At 41.9% G+C, this 17,392-nt stretch overlaps 1 protein-coding gene across 2 annotated transcripts in view; it reads left to right on the forward strand.

The window, feature by feature from the left end:
* Window positions 1–10,151, forward strand: part of SHISA9 (shisa family member 9) — a 661,420-nt gene extending 651,269 nt beyond the window's left edge. Inside the window, exon 6 of one of the 2 annotated variants that reach the window (XR_932915.3) lies at window positions 9,841–10,151. The gene's annotated coding sequence lies outside the window, so the exon portion shown is untranslated. Of the gene's footprint in view, window positions 1–976; window positions 1,497–9,840 lie in introns of those variants that run through there. The other variant, XR_007064905.1, reaches the window with a different exon arrangement.
* Window positions 10,152–17,392: the final 7,241 nt, after the last annotated feature.

Below are 17,392 nucleotides of genomic sequence, written 5' to 3' on the forward strand. Positions count from 1 at the left end.
ACAAAAGGAGCAAAAGATGACCATGTTCAGGCTGTTGACTATAGCAGAGTTTCTCAACCACAGGCGCTATTGATCTCTTGGGCCAGATAATCGTTTGTTGTGGGGGCCTGTTCTGTGCACTGTGGGATATAGAGCCACAATGCTGGCCTCTGCAATCTAGATGCCAGTAGCACCCTCCATCCATTGTGACAACAAAAAATGTCTCCAGACATTGCCAAATGACCCCTGGGGGACAAAAACACCCCTGACTGAGAACCACTGGACCACAACCTGCTTTCTGAACACCTGCTATGTGCCAAGCATTAAATGATGTGTTTTAGTTCACTTGCTCTTCCCAACAACTCCAGAAAGTAGGACTATTCATTTCCCCATTCTGTAAGTGAAGAAACTGAGGCACCAAGAGGGCAGATTACTTGACTAAGATGACACATATTTTTCCACCATCTTCTATTACCACTTCCAATATTAGCAACTACTATTGAACACTCTATCTCATTCTACGCTAGGCACTGTGCTTTACATGATCTGTTTTAAGTTTTACCGCAAATCTCTACAGTAGCTACCACTAACCACTACCATTTTACAGGTGGGAGAACAGAGGCCCACCTAGCAAAAAGGTAAAGCAGGGATTCGATCTTGTGTCCATGTGACTTAAAGCCTAAGTGCTCACCAGGTCTAAAATACCACTACCATAGCAGAGAGAAAAGATTAGATTGGAACTCCAGAACCGAAACACATGCTTTCATTTGAGCATTTCCTGGCTTGTGAGCCAGGCACAATGATTTTGAATAACTGAGCTGCTATTTAAAAAAAAAGAAAAAAAAAATCGTGCAACTGAATTCTAAAGAAAATTTCTTGTGGCTTCATTGTTAAACCTTAACCATCCCTTCGCTGTGAATCACCACCAAACTGTTCACTGTGCTTTAGTTAGCGCCAATTAACTCCTTACAATTGAGCATATTTTCCACTATTACAGGGGCTGCATAAAATCTTCCAACTGGGGAGGCCCAGAAACATCAGAATCCAAACCAGATGATGATCCACATCTCATTGTGACCCAAAATAAACCAGTCACGGCTGTAAAGGATTACAAATAAAATCCTATTAAAATCTAGCATGCACCAGGTCCTCTAAAATAGCACAAGACCACAACTATGAGTGTTCTGGGAGAATATGCTTCCTCTATTTTGGGGGGAAAGTAAAAAGTATAAAAAAAAATAACTAGCATCTATTCCTTTTTCCTCTTGGTAATAAAAAGCACAGGTTTTGGCTGGGCATCTTCTGCCTCTTACATACAGAGTCTCTTCCTCACCTCCAGGGGTGGGCTCTGATTGGCTTAAACCAAGCTACATACTCCAGGAAGCCATTCTGATTGGTTCAAACCTAATAAAATGTGAGCCAATGAGAGAGGAGATCTAGTTGCTAGAGATTAAAAAAAAAAAAAAACACCTTTCATGCCTACCTGAGATAACTACAGGGAAGGGCATGGGGATAAGGAAACAGAGGACTTATATGCTACAAGTCTGGTATTTATTTTTGCTATAAATACTCTATTATAAATTAATGAAAAAAATCATGGTAAAATCTCTGTGACACAAGAACTCTCACATTTGTTTCCTTTTTTTTTTTCTTTTTCTTTTCTTCTCTTTCTTTTTTTTTTTTTGATGGAGCCTGGAGTACAGTAGTTCAATCTTGTCTCACTGCAACCTCCGCTTCCCAGGTTCAAGCAATTCTCCTGTCTCAGCCTCCCGAGTAGCTGGGATTATAGGCATGTGCCACCACACCTAGCTAATTTTTGTATTTTTAGCAGAGACGTGGTTTCACCATGTTGGTCAGGCTGGTCTCGAACTCCTCACCTCAGGTGATCCACCTGCTTCGGCCTCCCAAAGAGCCACCGTGCCCAGTTCATTTGTTTTCTTAATGCCCCAGGTTGCATCTAAAAGAAGATGTGGGAAATACAAAGGACTCCTGCAAGCTCCTGGCAGCCATTTTGAATCATGAGGGGCATTGCTGTTAGGGTGAGGAAGAAAAGAAGAAGGTGGAGAGAAGAGATGGGAAACATCCCTGTGCCTTGGGTTAAATCCCATTTGAGGCCATATCTCCTTGTGGAATATTCATTTACTCAAATCAATAAATCCCTTTTGACGTTCAAGGCAACTTGAACTGGACTTTCTATTAACTTCAAACATCAGATTTCTGGTATATAATTAGTATTAACTAAGACCAGGAACCTGACTTATCTCAGCCCTAATTTCCAAATCTAGTCAGAGAGGATGAAAGTCTTTAGGGTTGTTGAGAGAATTAAATGAGCAAATAACCTATATAGACTGTTAGTACAGTGCTTGGTTATCATAAGCACTTTATAAATTTTAACTATTATTATCCCTGAAATAACCTACCTGTACAAAACTGTATCATGAACACAACATTTTTTCTGGGCTTATAAACGTTAATCCTGACTTCCATATAGAAGCGTTTTTTGATAATGAATAAAGATGGTATAACCTTCCTCAGAGCTTTCCAAAAAAATAAAAGAGGAAAGACAGCACATTCTTCCACCGAAATGTGAGAACATTTGGTAGTTCCTTTATATACCAGGAAAACAAAGGATACGTGGGGGTTACATGAGAAGAAACAATTTTGAATGAACAAGCAATCGAATTGGTTTAAAAATGAGCAAGAGAGAGAACTTGTACAACAAGCGTGTCAGACAAACCCAGAGGTCTGCAAATAACATGGACTGCCTGGGGAGGTAGCAAGTTCCCCACTCCACCCAAAGTGCAAGCAAACATACTGTGGCCATTTGTCATAGTGGAGCATACAGCGAGTACTGGCCCCACTGAGCTTTAAGGCTACCTACTAGACTGATACTCCCTTGTTCTCTTCCTGAGGCCCTTTGTCCCACGTTACTTAGATGGAGGGAAGTGGAAAGGTATTTTGTATTTACAGGTAAAATAACTATCCACCTCTCAGCCCCACAGTGCAGTTTGGCCTGGGGAGGTAGGACTTTGGGGAATCAAATCTTATCTAGGTTCAGTTCCTCACTCTGCTACTCAGATCTTACTCTATATGCTCAGTGGCAAACAACCTCACACTGCTGGTTCTCAGTTTCCTCATTTGTTAGAAAAACAAAAGAGAGAAAATATGGTCGGGCTTGAGATTATACAGATGTAGATGAGATGAGCTATGCAAAGCACTTAGCCTAACCAGACAAAGCCACTTTCCGATTCCACCCTTTCAAATCTCCCTGAGTTCCTCCTTCAGGACGTGTGTTTATTTATTTCTCTCACCACACACCATCAATCAGTTTTGTACTAAACATGTTAAATATTAAGTCATTCTGCTAAATCAGTGGTGACTCGGGTATTTTTATTATTTCCCATTTAACAGACGAAAATGTGGCACAGGAAGGTTATATGACTTGCCCAAGTTCATACAACTAGTAGATGCCAGGATTCGTTGGAATTTGAACACAGTCTGACTCCAGAGTTCCATGCCTTAACTAGTGAATCATTCCGCTTTTCACTTAATTGATTAATAAACAATCAGCTTGGGAGGCCGAGGCGGGCGGATCACGAGGTCAGGAGATCGAGACCATCCTGGCTAACATGGTGAAACCCCGTCTCTACTAAACAAAATACAAAAAATTAGCCGGGCAAGGTGGCACGTGCCTGTAATCCCAGCTACTAGGGAGGCTGAGGCAGGAGAATGGCGTGAACCCGGGAGGCAGAGCTTGCAGTGAGCCTAGATCGCGCCATTGCACTCCAGCCTGGGCGACAGAGTGAGACTCTGTCTCAAAAAAATAAAAAATAAAATAAACAAACAAACAAACACTCAGCCCTCCATATCTGTGGGTTCTCCCTCCTCAGATTCAACCAATCACAGATCAAAAATATTCTGAAAAATAAAAAATAAAAACAATAATATAACAACAAAAAAATACAAATTTTTTCAATACAGTATAAAAAGACTTGTGTAGCATTTACATTGTATTAGGTTTTATAAGTAATCTAGAGATGATTTAAAGTATATGGAATATACATAGTTTACATGCGAAGACGATGTCATTTTATATAAAGGACTAGAACATTTGTGGATTTTGATATATCCTGGGGTCCTGGAATCAATCCCCTCCAGTACTGAGGGGTGACTGTAACTTTCTTGGGAGTGTACCGTTTGGTACTCTAGTCTATTCCCAGCACTTAAAACAGTGCCTGGCATATAGTAAGTGTTCAATAAATATTGAAATAATCAATGAAGAATAAGTGAATAAACAGAATATTCTTCAACAAGTGTTAATTCCCTCTTCCTTCCTCTCCCCTAAGGAGGTAGAAACATTTGAATTCAAATCTCTTGCACTCTTCTTGAATCTGAGGTTTTGCATAAAATTTGCCCAAATTACATATAATCAAGTATCCATCATAGAGATGAATTCAGATAATTAGACCAAAAATACAATCTACAAATTCCCATGCAATGCATTTGTCTGAAAAAGGTATTTGCCTGGAATTTCAACCAAACCCAATGTCCCTTTAACGCCACTAAGGAGAAGCTCAGCCTGGTGAATAACAGGACATTTGAGTACTGGAATAAATGATGATTAGAAGACACCCGTGGCAAAGCTGCCTCATAGCAAGATTAATTTGGGGGCGAGAAGAGGGTGGTTATTAATGTGTCCGGGAGACAACTCCAGGCACTGTTTCCCTGATGGGAGCAGAATCTCAGGTTATTTATAGCCACTTCTCAGGAGGAACATGGCACAGGGCATCCGAGGAGAGAACCACGCCAAGGTGCGCTAATGGAACTTTGAGGATAATTTACTGCTCAAGTTCAAGGACTTTTGCAACAAGAAAGAGCCTCTCAAACTCCCAGCAATCTCTACCCAGGAAGGAGATGAACGTGACTGTGCAGGTCTGTCATTCAAGATTCGCCATCTCATCAATCTCATCTTCTCCCACTGTCCCCCTGGCTCACTCCTCTCCAGCCACCGCAGCCTCAGGCAGCTCCTCAAACATGAAAACACACTCCCACCACAGGGTTTTCATTTTTGCCCTTTCCTCTGCATGGACACACTTTTCTGACACCCTTTTAAACTATAGGCTTCCGATCACCTGATACTAGTAATTGAAGGGTGTAGTGAGCTATAACTGTGCTGCTGCACTCTAGCCTGGGTGACAGAGACCAAAAAAAATTAAACTAAAAGTTGAAAAGAATAAAATATAAACTTCCTTTTCTGCTTCCCTGCTTTGCATTTTTCTACAGCTCTTACCAAATCCATGCTTGCTTTGCCCCGAGTTTGCTGTGTGATCTTGGGCTAATCACTATCTCTCTCTGGGTTTTAGCTTCCCATCTACAAAATGAGGGCAGTGGTTGACAATTCTCTAAAATCCTTTCTAGCATTCACATCCCACATCTCTGGGTGCAAATAATGTAAATAAGCTTGATGCTGTGCTGGTCAAAATACATAGTTTCAGGCTTATTTATCAATAACAAGAAAGTGACATTGTACATAGTCACTTCTTGTTATTTTCAGTAAAGTCACCACCAACTCCCAATTAGCCAATCCTGAGCCATGGCTCCTAAGAGAAATACAGGGTTGGGTTCCTGCAAGCCTCTGACCACAACATTTTTATCAATCAATCAATGCATAACCTTGTTTTTTGTATATATGTGTTTAAAGGCATCTTATGTAACATATACTGATTCACTAACACTGAGCTCACAGTCAAGAGTACAGTAACACGTTCCTGAGCAACACTTATCCAACACATGTATGTCCTTCTTCAGGCATGTCACAGCCTTTGGAACACAAGGTAGCACTTCCACACTTTATTTGGGGAACAATTTTAAACAGCAAAGTCACCAAGAAAAAGCACACAAATGTGACAAATATGGCACTAAACAGACTACAAAAAAAGATATTTGTTTATCGTATGACAGCTGAAACAAGATGGCAGAGTGTTGCCCCGTTTCCCCTAAGCTAGGAATGTTTTCATCACCTGATTAACATTTTTCAGGGCTCTGCACATTTCTGTGAATGATTGTGAAAGTGTCACGAGTATTGATTCGGGGGTTACAAATAAATTTTAGCAAGTAAGCAAATTCACAAATACAGAGTCTGGGAATAATGAAGATCAATTTATAGTTTACAAAGATAATTATTATTTGCCTTCCCCACCACAATGTAAGCTCCAAGAAAGCAGGTGTTTTTCTGTTTTGTTCACCACTTTCTCTCTAGCTCCTAGAATATATACACTCTTAACAAATATTGGTGACATAAATAAGCCTGAAGATATCTATTTTGACCAGACACAGTATCGAGTTTATTTAAATTATTTGCACACAGAGATGTGGGATGTGAATGCTAGAAACGATTCTAGAGAACTGTCAACCACTGCCCTCATTTTGTAGATGGGAAGCTAAAGCCCAGAGAAGGGTAGTGATTAGCCCAAGATCACACAGCAAACTGGGGTCAAAGCAAGCATGGATTTTTTTTTTCTTTTTTCTGCATTTTCTATTTTTTTTTTTTCAGAGACATTCTCGCTCTGTCACCCAAAATGGAGTGCAGTGGCACAATCATAGCTCATTGCAGCCTCAAACTCCTGGGCTTAGGTCATCCTCCCACCTCAGTCTCCCAAGTAGCTAGGATTATAGCCATGTGACACCATGTCTGGCTAATTTTATATATATATTTTTTCTAGAGACAGGGTCTCTCTGTGTTTCCCAGGCTGGTCTTAAACTCCTCATCTCAAGCAAACCTCCCACCTCGGCCTCCCAAAGTGTTGGGATTGCAGGCATGAGCCACCACATCCAGCTGAGCATGGATTTCTTAAGCCATTCCATTTTACTATATTTCCAGCACCTTACAGACATGATCTTTGTTATTATTGGGATGTCTCAGAGCATCTGGCTCAGGGCTTAGAACAGAGTGGTTGTTCAATAAATGCTGACAGGCTGGATTACAGAAAAGGTAGGGGATATTCCTAGAAGATGAAAAGGCAGACTGCACCTTCAGCTAAAGTCAGTCACATCAACTGGAAAGATTGACTTGATTTTCAGCAGTAGCTCTCTCAGGAAAAAGTTAATGGGGAATAAAGAGGAACTCTGTTTATCAGTCAAGACTTCATGTTCCAAGTAATGAAAAGATAAACTTGCTTTAAAATAAACAAGAGAGAGAATTCATTGACTTGGGCAACAGAGAAGTCCAGAATTAGGGTGAATTTCAAATGTGGATTGAAAATAGCATTGGGGTAGCAGTTTTGCAGCTCTGCTTTTCTGCAAATCTCTTAGCTCGATTTGGTTTCTCTCACTAGCAAACTGTGTACAGGAGTCTAAGGCTTAGTATCTTCCCAACACAGCATTCAGAAGAAAAGAGCTTCTATGGTCCAGCACTCCCACCTGGAGATTCTCACCTGAGATTCACTGTAATTAGACTGGCTTAAGTCATGTGGTCACCCCTGAACCAATCACCATAGCCAGGAGGGTGTAAGCTGCTGATTGGCTGAGCAGGATCACATGGTCTAATCATGGAGCTAAGTATTGGTATCAGCACCTGAAGAATTTTCTATCGAAATTCAGGGATGGTAGAAAGACGGGAGAGGGGAATGAATACCAAGAAACAATGGTTTTCCACACTATATAGACGTATGAGGCCAGACACCTCCAACGAACTTCCAATGCAGGAACAGAGATTTGAGAAATTGTTAATTGTTTTAAAGAATTTATTGCTGCACATATTATTGCTCCAGGTTCCATGCTAGGTTCTAGGGATACAGAGGTGAAAAACTCCTAATCCTCATCCACAAAAATAGCTCACAGGTAATTCATAACAGTTGGTTCATAAGATACATGAAAAAAGAGAAGATCTGTCCAAATGCACTAAATTAGGAAAAAAAAAAAAAAAAGCAGAAAGGAGAAGAGAAGAGGCTATGTCACGGCCATGTCAGTCCCAGAACAAAAACATTGTTTCTGTGTTATTTATTCTTAACAACTTTTTTTTGTTTTGTTTTGTTTTTGAGACAGGGTCTCTCTCTGTCGCCCAGGCTGGAGTGCAGTGGCACAATCTCGGCTCACTGCAACCTCCACCTCCAGGGTTCAAGCGATTCTCCTGCCTCAGCCTCCCGAGTAGCTGGGATTACAGGCGTCCGACACCACTCCCGGCTAATTTTTGTATTTTTGGTAGAGATGGGTTTTCACCATGTTGGCCAGGCTGGTCTCGAACTCCTGACCTCAGGTGAACTGCCCGCTTCAGCCAGCCTCCATAGTGCTGGGATTAAAAGCATGGGCCGCCGCGCCTGGCCTTAACATCTTTTTGAATATCATATGTACACTAGGGACAGAAATGTGCACTCAATGAACCCTTTGGCAGTTATTAGTCCCAGAATATTAGAAGCGTTTGGCTTTTTCCAGTGACTGTCTTTGAGAGAATCAGTGGTCTCCTCCCGACAAGGCACTCTGCATTTCTTACATAACTTGCAGCATCTCCAACTAGGAAGACTTGGCCCCGCATCCATTACAATACCCCAGAGAGATTCCCATAACTTCATTCTCGTGCTGCTGTCAGAGAGCTACTCTACTGTGAAGCATTCTAAGTGAGAAACAAGCCGTGGGCAGGAACCTCTCCATGTTCCGTTGATAGCTGTCAGGAGGGAGAGGGTTTACAGCAAAATCACTTCCGCTACTTTTACTTGGGGTTTGTGCCAAAGCGTGCTGATCCTTCAGGACTCTGCTCAGATCCAGACTTCAGAATAGCGAGGTGTGGGGAGCTGAGGGTGGAAGGGCCCCTGGAGGAAGTGCTAGCTCCATGAGTCTGCGGTGCCATGCAGGTCAAGGTAGTGACCTGTGTGGCCCTACGTGCCAGGTGATGGACTAGGGGAATTGCTTGCACAAGCCCTGGAATAGAGTAGATGGTAAATAAGTGTTAAATTATGTGTAGGAATGTGACAGCAGAAAAGAGGTGCCAGATAATGTTTCCATATTGGTTGCAATTCAAATTAGCTTAAGAAAAAAAAAAGCAAAAGACAGCTGTATTGGCTGGTATAGCTGGCAAATTAAAGATAGGACTAGTTTTAGGCAGGAGTGGATCCAGGGGCATCATTGAGACTGTGAGAGCTCTGTCTCTTTTTAACTCCTGGTTTGCTTCTCTGTAGGTGATGGCCTTGTCCTCACCTTCCAGGGACAACTTTTCTCCACATTGAGGGGAAGATGGTTGTCCTCAGTCACTGACTAACAGTCTTGCATCTTTCTGACATGAAAAGTAAATCCTTTTTCCTTCCAGCACCTAATCAGGAATTGCAGGGGAAATTGTCTGATTAACCTAGCTTGGGTAGGACAGAAACCCCTGGAACAGGTATTATGAATCAGAGAAATTGGGTTCTATGACTGGCCAGCCTTGGAGTGCACATCCACGCTAATGATACAGTGGCCTGATTTAGTAAATGAAAATGCAGTGTAAGTATGGACTAAAAAATGATTCATTCCTGGCCAGGCACAGTGGCTCATGCCTGTAATCCCAGCACTTTGGGAGGCTGAGGCAGGCAGATCACCTGAGGTCAAGAGCTCGAGACCAGCCTGGCCAACACGGTGAAACCCCATCTCTACTAAAAATACAAAAATTAGATGGGCGTGGTGGCAGGCACCTGTAGTCCCAGCTGCTCGGGAAGCTGAGGCGGGAGAATCTCTTGAACCCGGGAGGCTGAGGTTACAGTGAGTCAAGATCATGCTGCTGCACTCCAGCCTGGGTGACAGAGCAAGACTCTGTCTGAAAAAAAAAAAAAAAAAAAAGATTCATTCCTTATATGAAATTCCAATTCAACTACGTGTCTTACCTTTTTTATCTAGCAACCTTACGATGGAGGCAGAAGAAGGATTCTATGGTTGGAAACCTGCCAGACTCACAGGCTACGGAGAAGAAAGGCTAAATCCACCAGACTGTTGGATGCACCTAAAACAAATTGCCCTCCGTGGCTTGGTTTCTTATTAATATACTCATAGAAATGCACAAGAACTGAAAGCTCGATAGGGAAACCAAAAAATAAAAATTAAAAAAAAAAAGCTGTAAACCAATGTTTCTTAAAACATGCTCTGCAGAACACTCGTTTGGTGGAACGTAAAGTGTTCTTTCATATTAAAGGAGTTGCGTGTTAATCGTGTTTCTCTGTCATAGGACTCTCATTGCATTAATATGTCAGTTTCCATTGTGAATTTCTCAGGAGAGAGAGGCGAGTCTGTGATATTCCTCAAATGCATGAGGTCATGGAATCTAAGAGCAGAAGAGCATTAGGATAGCAGAACAGCTTTGATAGCACAACAGCTCCTTGCATGTGGTGGAAATCACAAGTTCAGGGGGACATTTTACTGGCTGTATTGTCAGTAGGATGAATACTACACGCTGCATCTTCTGAACTATAATACGGTATCCCTGAGAAACAAAATTAGAGGAAATATTGATCACATCTCACCATTTCCAGCTAAAACTAAGATGCAGAGTCTGCAATGCCCCAAAATAAATGTGCTCATTCCCTGAACACATGGGGCCTTTGTCTTATTTTGTCCTTTGTCTTATTATTTATTTATTTATTTATTTATTTTGAGGTAGAGTTTCACTCTTGTTGCCCAGACTGGAGTGCAGCGGCATGGTCTTGGCTCACTACACCCTCCCCCTCCCAGGTTCAAGCGATTCTCCTGCCTCAGCCTCCCTAGTAGCTGAAATTACAGGCACCGGCCAATATGCCAGGCTAATTTTTGTATTTTTAGTAGAGATGGGGTTTCACCATGTTGGCCAGATGGGTCTCGAACTCCTGACCTCAAGTGATCCACCCACCTCGGCCTCCCAAAGTGCTGGGATTACAGGCATGAGCCACCGCGCCCGGCTGAGCCTCTGTCTTGAGCCATCCCGGCCAAGTTCAGAAGTTGCTCTTGCATCTGCTCATAAGTCTCCCAGTACGCATTGCAGCAGGAAGTGTAGGGAAAAAAGTGCAGAGTTCTAACTTACACAGTACTTAGATACCTGTTATACCTGGTCCACCTTTATTATCACAAGTTCACAGAAATTGGGAGCTAAAGAGACCTTTAAGGCAGAAATAGGAGAATTGAATCATCTTGACCTCTAGGCACATACCAGACACGATGCTAACCCATTTTTACATTTTTTCGGTGACTTCCCCATGACAACTCTATATCTTTTATACAAAAGGACTTCTGTAGCCTAATAAATTTAGGCTTTCGTTTTGATTCTCAACAGATACAGAAACTGAGATCAGAGACAATGGCTTGATTGAGCTCATTTCACTCCATGAAAAATATTTTGGAATAAGAGATTTTTATCTCCTCTACACTGATATTTTATACTTCTTTCAGCCACGCAATATTGTGCATCCCCAAGAAGCTCTCTGCTTCTTATTCAATGCTTGTCAACCTCTGCCCCTCTGGCAAATTTCTTCTAATGGGTAGCATCCAGGAAGCCCCTGTTCCCTTTGTGTGCCCCCGCTATTTTCCACATTATGTTTGATCTCAACATTCCACTGAAAATTGGATATTGATAGTAGCCTGCTATGATAATGAACAATTCATGTCTCAATGTGAAAAGGCATTTAAGACACCTGTTTTCATGAGTAATTATAGATAATTGCTATGGTGGATGAAGTTTTTTAAAATTATTATTGCACAGAAAAGGTCTTGAGAAACAGAGCAATTAATTTCCTGATACCTTACCAAGAGTGAGTGCGACGTTAACCCTCACTTTGGGAAGTATTTGTAGGTAATTGGGCTTGGCTGCTTGCAATGAGGGGAACGTGAATTATATTCCAGAGTAGGCTCCTGACATATCCCAGCCATGGATAACTTTCTTTTTAACGTTTTGTTCAGCATTTACTCCTTCCTTCATTCATTCTAGGAACACTTGTTAGATACCTCCTATTGGTCAATTGCCTCGTTAAATGCTGGGGTTGCAATGACTCAGCTTCATTCACTCATTCGTTCAACAATCAGATGATACTATGTGCAAGGGCCCTGGATATTTAAAAACGGATTGTAGGCTGGGTGCGATGGCTCATGCCTATAATCCCAGCACTCTGGAAGGCCGAAGTGGGTGGATCACTTGAGGTCAGGAGTCTGAGACCAGCCTGACCAACACAGTGAAAGCCTGACTCTACTAAAAATACAAAAGTTACCTGGGCATGGTGGTGGGTTCCTGTAATCCCAGGTAGTCGGGAGGCTGAGACAGGAAAATCACTGGAACCCAGGAGACAGAGGTTGCAGTGAGCCGAGATTGTGCCACTGCATTCCAACCTGGATGACAGAACGAGATTCCATCTCAAAATAAATAAATAAATAAAAATAGATTATGATTATAAAGCCCTAATACAACAGCATAAGTCCATTTTCCTAAAGAAATATTCTTGCCCTCTGAACCAGTAACTCCACATCTAAGAAGTTTTCTTAAAGAAATTATATCAAAATTATGAACAATCGGCCGGGCACGGTGGCTTATGCCTGTAATCCCAGCACTTTGGAAGGCCGAGGTGGGCGGATAAGGAGGTCAAGAGATCGAGACCATCCTGGCTAACATGGTGAAACCCTGTCTCTACTAAAAATTCAAAAAATTAGCCGGGTGTGGTGGCACACGTCTGTAGTCCCAGCTACTCAGGAGGCTGAGGCAGGAGAATCGCTTGAACCTGAGAGGCAGAGGTTGCAGCAAGCTGAGATCATGCCACTGCACTCCAGTCTAGGTGACAGAGCGAGACTCCATCTCAAAAAATAAAAATAAAAAAATAAAATTATGAACAATCTAAATATTTATCAAGAGTAGAAAAATGCTAAATGAATCATAATAATCTGTAGTTATTAATATACCATGGAATACTACGCAGCCATAAAAAATGACGAGTTCATGTCCTTTGTAGGGACATGGATGAAACTGGAAACCATCATTCTCAGCAAACTATCACAAGGACAAAAAACCAAACACCGCATGTTCTCACTCATAGGTGGGAATTGAACAATGAGAACACATGGACACAGGAAGGGGAACATCACACACTGGGGACTGTTGTGGGGTTAGGGGAGCGGGGAGGGATAGCATTAGGAGATATACCTAATGCTAAATGACGAGTTAATGGGTGCAGCACACCAACATGGCACATGTATACATATGTAACAAATCTGCACGTTGTGCACATGTACCCTAAAACTTAAAGTATAATAATAATAAAATTTTTTTAAAAAATGTATCTTATGAGAAAGATATAATGTGTGGAAGCAATTTTGATATATTAGAAAGAGGGAAGGCTTGCAAAATAAAAAAAAAGAATAATATAAGCCAAAAAAAAAAAATAGAACCCCCATATGATCCAGCAATTCCTCATCTGGATATTTATCCCAAGGAATTGAAATCAGGATCTTAAAGAGATATTAGCATTTCCACATTGATTGCAACACTATATAGAATGTGGAAATAAATGTCCATCAACACATGAACGAATAAAGAAAATGTGGTATATACATATAGTGGAATACTATTCAGCATTGAAAAGGAGGAAATTTTGCAATACATAACAACATGGATGAACTTTGAGAACTTCATGCTATGTGAAATAAACCAGTCACGGAACATCGTATACAGAAGACTGAAGATTTCATTTATTTGAGGTGTGTATAAGAGTCAAATTCATAAAATCAAAGAGTGGAATGGTGGTTACCAGGGTTGAGGGGAAAGGAGACATAGGGCATTACTCGTCAACAGCCATAAAGTTTCAGTTAAAACAAGATGAAAAACTCCAGAGATTTGCTGTACAGCATCATACCTATAGTCAAAAATGATGGGTTGCACACTTAACATTTTGTTAAGAGGGACAGACCTCATGTTATGTATTCTTACCACAATAAAACAAAATTTTTAAAACGAATAATATAAGCCAAAATGGAAGCAGCAGTTCTATTCAGGGAGTGCTATGGGAACGGAAGTTAAATTCGTGGGTAAGGTTAGAGTACATTTGATCTGGTGAACTTTTCTGCATTTCCTAAGTTCCAACAATAAACATGTATTGCTTACATAATTAGGAAGTAGAAGCAAAATAAGTAGTGTAGAGGTTTGGGTTCTGCAGACGAGCCTTGGAAGATACAAAGCTAAGTGCAAAAGTGATGCTAATGACCTTAATGACAACAGTGAAAATTTACCAGGTCTCAGGGTTGGAGAGAACCACATAGGCTGATTCTTTCTGCAACTCTGATTCCCAACCTTGGCTTCAGATAATCAGCTCTGACGCTTTTAGAATGTAGAAATGCTCAAGTTAATCCCCACAACACACACATCTCAAGAGATTTGGTCTTGGGTAGGGCTGGACATTGGTACTTCTTAGATTTCCCAGGCAGTTATAAGATATAGCAGCCAAGGTTGAGAGCTACCACATCACTGATTCTCAAACTTGACTGCACATAAGAATTATCTGATAAACTTTACAAAAATGCTGATTCCTGGCTAGCACGGTCATGCCTGTAATCCCAGCACTTTGGGAAGCCAAGGTGGGCAGATCACCTGAACTCAGAAGTTTGAGACCAGCCTGGGCAACATGACAAAACCCTGTCTCTACAAAAAATACAAAAATTAGCTGGGTGTAGTGGTACACACCTGTAGTCCTAGCTACTGGGAGGCTAAGGTGGGAGGATCAGCTGAGCCCAGGAGGCAGAGGTTTCAGTGAGCCGAGATTGTGCCATTGTACTCCAGCTTGGGTGACAGAGCGAGACTCTGTTTCAAAAAAAAAAAACAAAAAAAAAAAACTGACTCCTGGGTACCACCCAGAGATTCTAAGTTAACTAATCTTGGTGTGGTTTGGGCATTATGATACGTAAAATTTTCCAAGTGATTCTAATATACATCCAAGCTTGGGAAACATTGCTCTACATCCTTGTACTTAAAGAGCGGCCTGTAGATCATCAGTGATGGCACCACCTGGGAGCATGTAAGAAATGCAAAATCTCAGTCCCCACCCCAGCCTGCTAAAACCTCGTCTGTGCATTAACAAGACATTCAGGTGAAGTGTGTGTATATTAAAGTTGGAGAAATACTGTCCTAGATCATCCCAGAGAATAAACACCATGGCTCCAACAATCTTCCAAGTCAAATTGCCACAGACCCCCATTTCTATTCCATTCCCTTTCCCATGTCTTTGAAAAGGGGAAAGATCTAATTTAGGACAGTTCTGCAGCAGATAAAATATGGCTCTGCCCTTCTCCAGCTATATCCAGACTTTCAAACCCCACACAACCCAGCCAGAGGGCAAGAAACGGCTTCTCCAAGCTGAAAGATCCAGATTTTTTATTATTCCACAGGACCACACTGGGAGGGAACAGAACAACCCCTGAAGAGGACATTTCACCACCGATCAGCTAGCTTCAAGAGGCCTCCCCGGAGTCCCCATATCTCCCCACAACAAAGTGAGCTGATTTTAATCAGCAGCTGCCATCTCATCTGCATTTGAGATCCCATGAATATGCAAGCCGGGTGGATGGGGTCTCAAGGAAGAGGAATAATTGGCCCCTTATATTTGATATTCAGGACCGCTGTTCTCTTATGGTGCAGTTTTCCTCTCCAGCAATCTTGTGAGGGATTTAGGTCGCAGCAAATACCATGGGCATTATCCATCAGAACAGGATCAAAGGAAAGAAGGAGTGCATTTAAAAAAGTCCAGTGTGTGGTGTGATTACTTGATGATACTATTAAATTTCTCCTGTGTTTTGCAACCTCTCTGGAGAGGATTTGCAAATACCCTATGCCTCATTAGCCTTAAGCCAAAGCAGCCCTGAGCTTGCTGCACGGTAGGAGGTGTGCGCTGGTACCTAGCCCTCTGTAGCTATCTCCACCTTTAGGAAGGGAGAAATACAAGACCTCTCTAAAGGCAAGGTAACATGGGATTGTTTATAGACCTGAAGTGTACAGATGTGACCTCCAGAACAGACACTGTTTTTGTCACTAGCATTTATTCTCTCTTCTTCCTTTAGGGAGTCACTCCCTCTTCGGCGCTAAATTTGCATGGTTTGGAGGGACCGATTGAATCAGGGATGGGTGTGACTCAGGCCCAGCCAATCAGAGCATCTCATTCTTCCAGCCACAGGGTTTGGGTGAGGGATGCACATGTGACCCGATAAGAGCCAATGAGAATTTAACTGGGACTGTTACAGGAAAGGGCAGGAGTGTTTATACCTGGGAAAATCTAAAATCAGTCTGCCAGCAGTCATCTTACTGCCACACAGGGCGATCCTATCTGAGACTAAAGCCAATACAGAGGAAAATAGATGAGAAAGACAATTTTGAGCCCCTGGATTCAGCCATACCTGAAGCCTGGGGGCTTATCTGAGCCAGTGAATGTCCTTCTTTTTGTTTCGAGTTGGGTTTCTATCATTGCCAAGTGAATGAATCCTAACTGATAATGGGCTGTTTTGTTCATATCCTGTTTTGACACTACCTGGGGTTCTGTTTGTCACAGCCCTCACACTAAAGACAAGATAACGTAACATTCAGTCTTTCTAGTAATATCATTGAGCCCCTGCTGTGTCCAAGACACTGTTGTAGATGCGAAGGATAGTGCAACACATAAAATAGGCCACATCCCTGCTCTTGTTGAATTTACATGAGCTTTGAGTCAGAAGGTTTAGAGTGAGGTTCCATTTTACAGATAAAGAAATTAATGCTCAGACATACCCAACAACCTGCCCAAGGTGATCCAGAAAACATGTGATGGAATGAGAATTCAAACCCAGATTGGTTTTACCCCTTAGGTCTGTGTGAAAATCGAAACCAGAAATTGAAAACTGGCAAAATTAGACCAGAATATGCCAAAAGATGTGTTTTATTTGGACCATGATTGTTTTTAAATGTAGAATTATTAGCCATCACTAAAACTCAGATTTTCTAACAGATCCAGATTTCTCAGTAGTACTGAAAAGTCAAAAGGTCTAGCAGCAACAGACTAGAACCCTCACATGGCAATAGCTGGCTGGGGTGAGAGGAGGCTGCCCCCTCGAAACACAGTCCCATTCTCTTTGCCACAGTCTCTCCCTGGGCTACCTCTCTCACTTAAGTTAGTCCCTTTGGACATTTGAGTTTGCAAGCCCTGCTGCAAGCATTGTGAAGGCATGCTTCGATATGCCCTCATCATTGCTTGAAGTCCCAATGCTTGGCATCTAGCGCAGGATCAATGGTGGATCACTCTCATTCCTACCAATTTGCTCAAGATGGGACTGACAGAAGCTATCCATCTAGTTGCCATTTGCATATGATTAAACCTTCTGGAAGCAGAGCAATCAGATGAAATCAGCTCCAGGGAAACATATGTGTGCCCTGCTGGTCTCCTTAATTTCTAGAAAGGAAGCCCAAGCATGCCCAAAGCTTTGCAGG

This window comes from Homo sapiens, chromosome 16, assembly GCF_000001405.40.
Source record: "Homo sapiens chromosome 16, GRCh38.p14 Primary Assembly".
Taxonomy (NCBI): domain Eukaryota; kingdom Metazoa; phylum Chordata; class Mammalia; order Primates; family Hominidae; genus Homo; species Homo sapiens.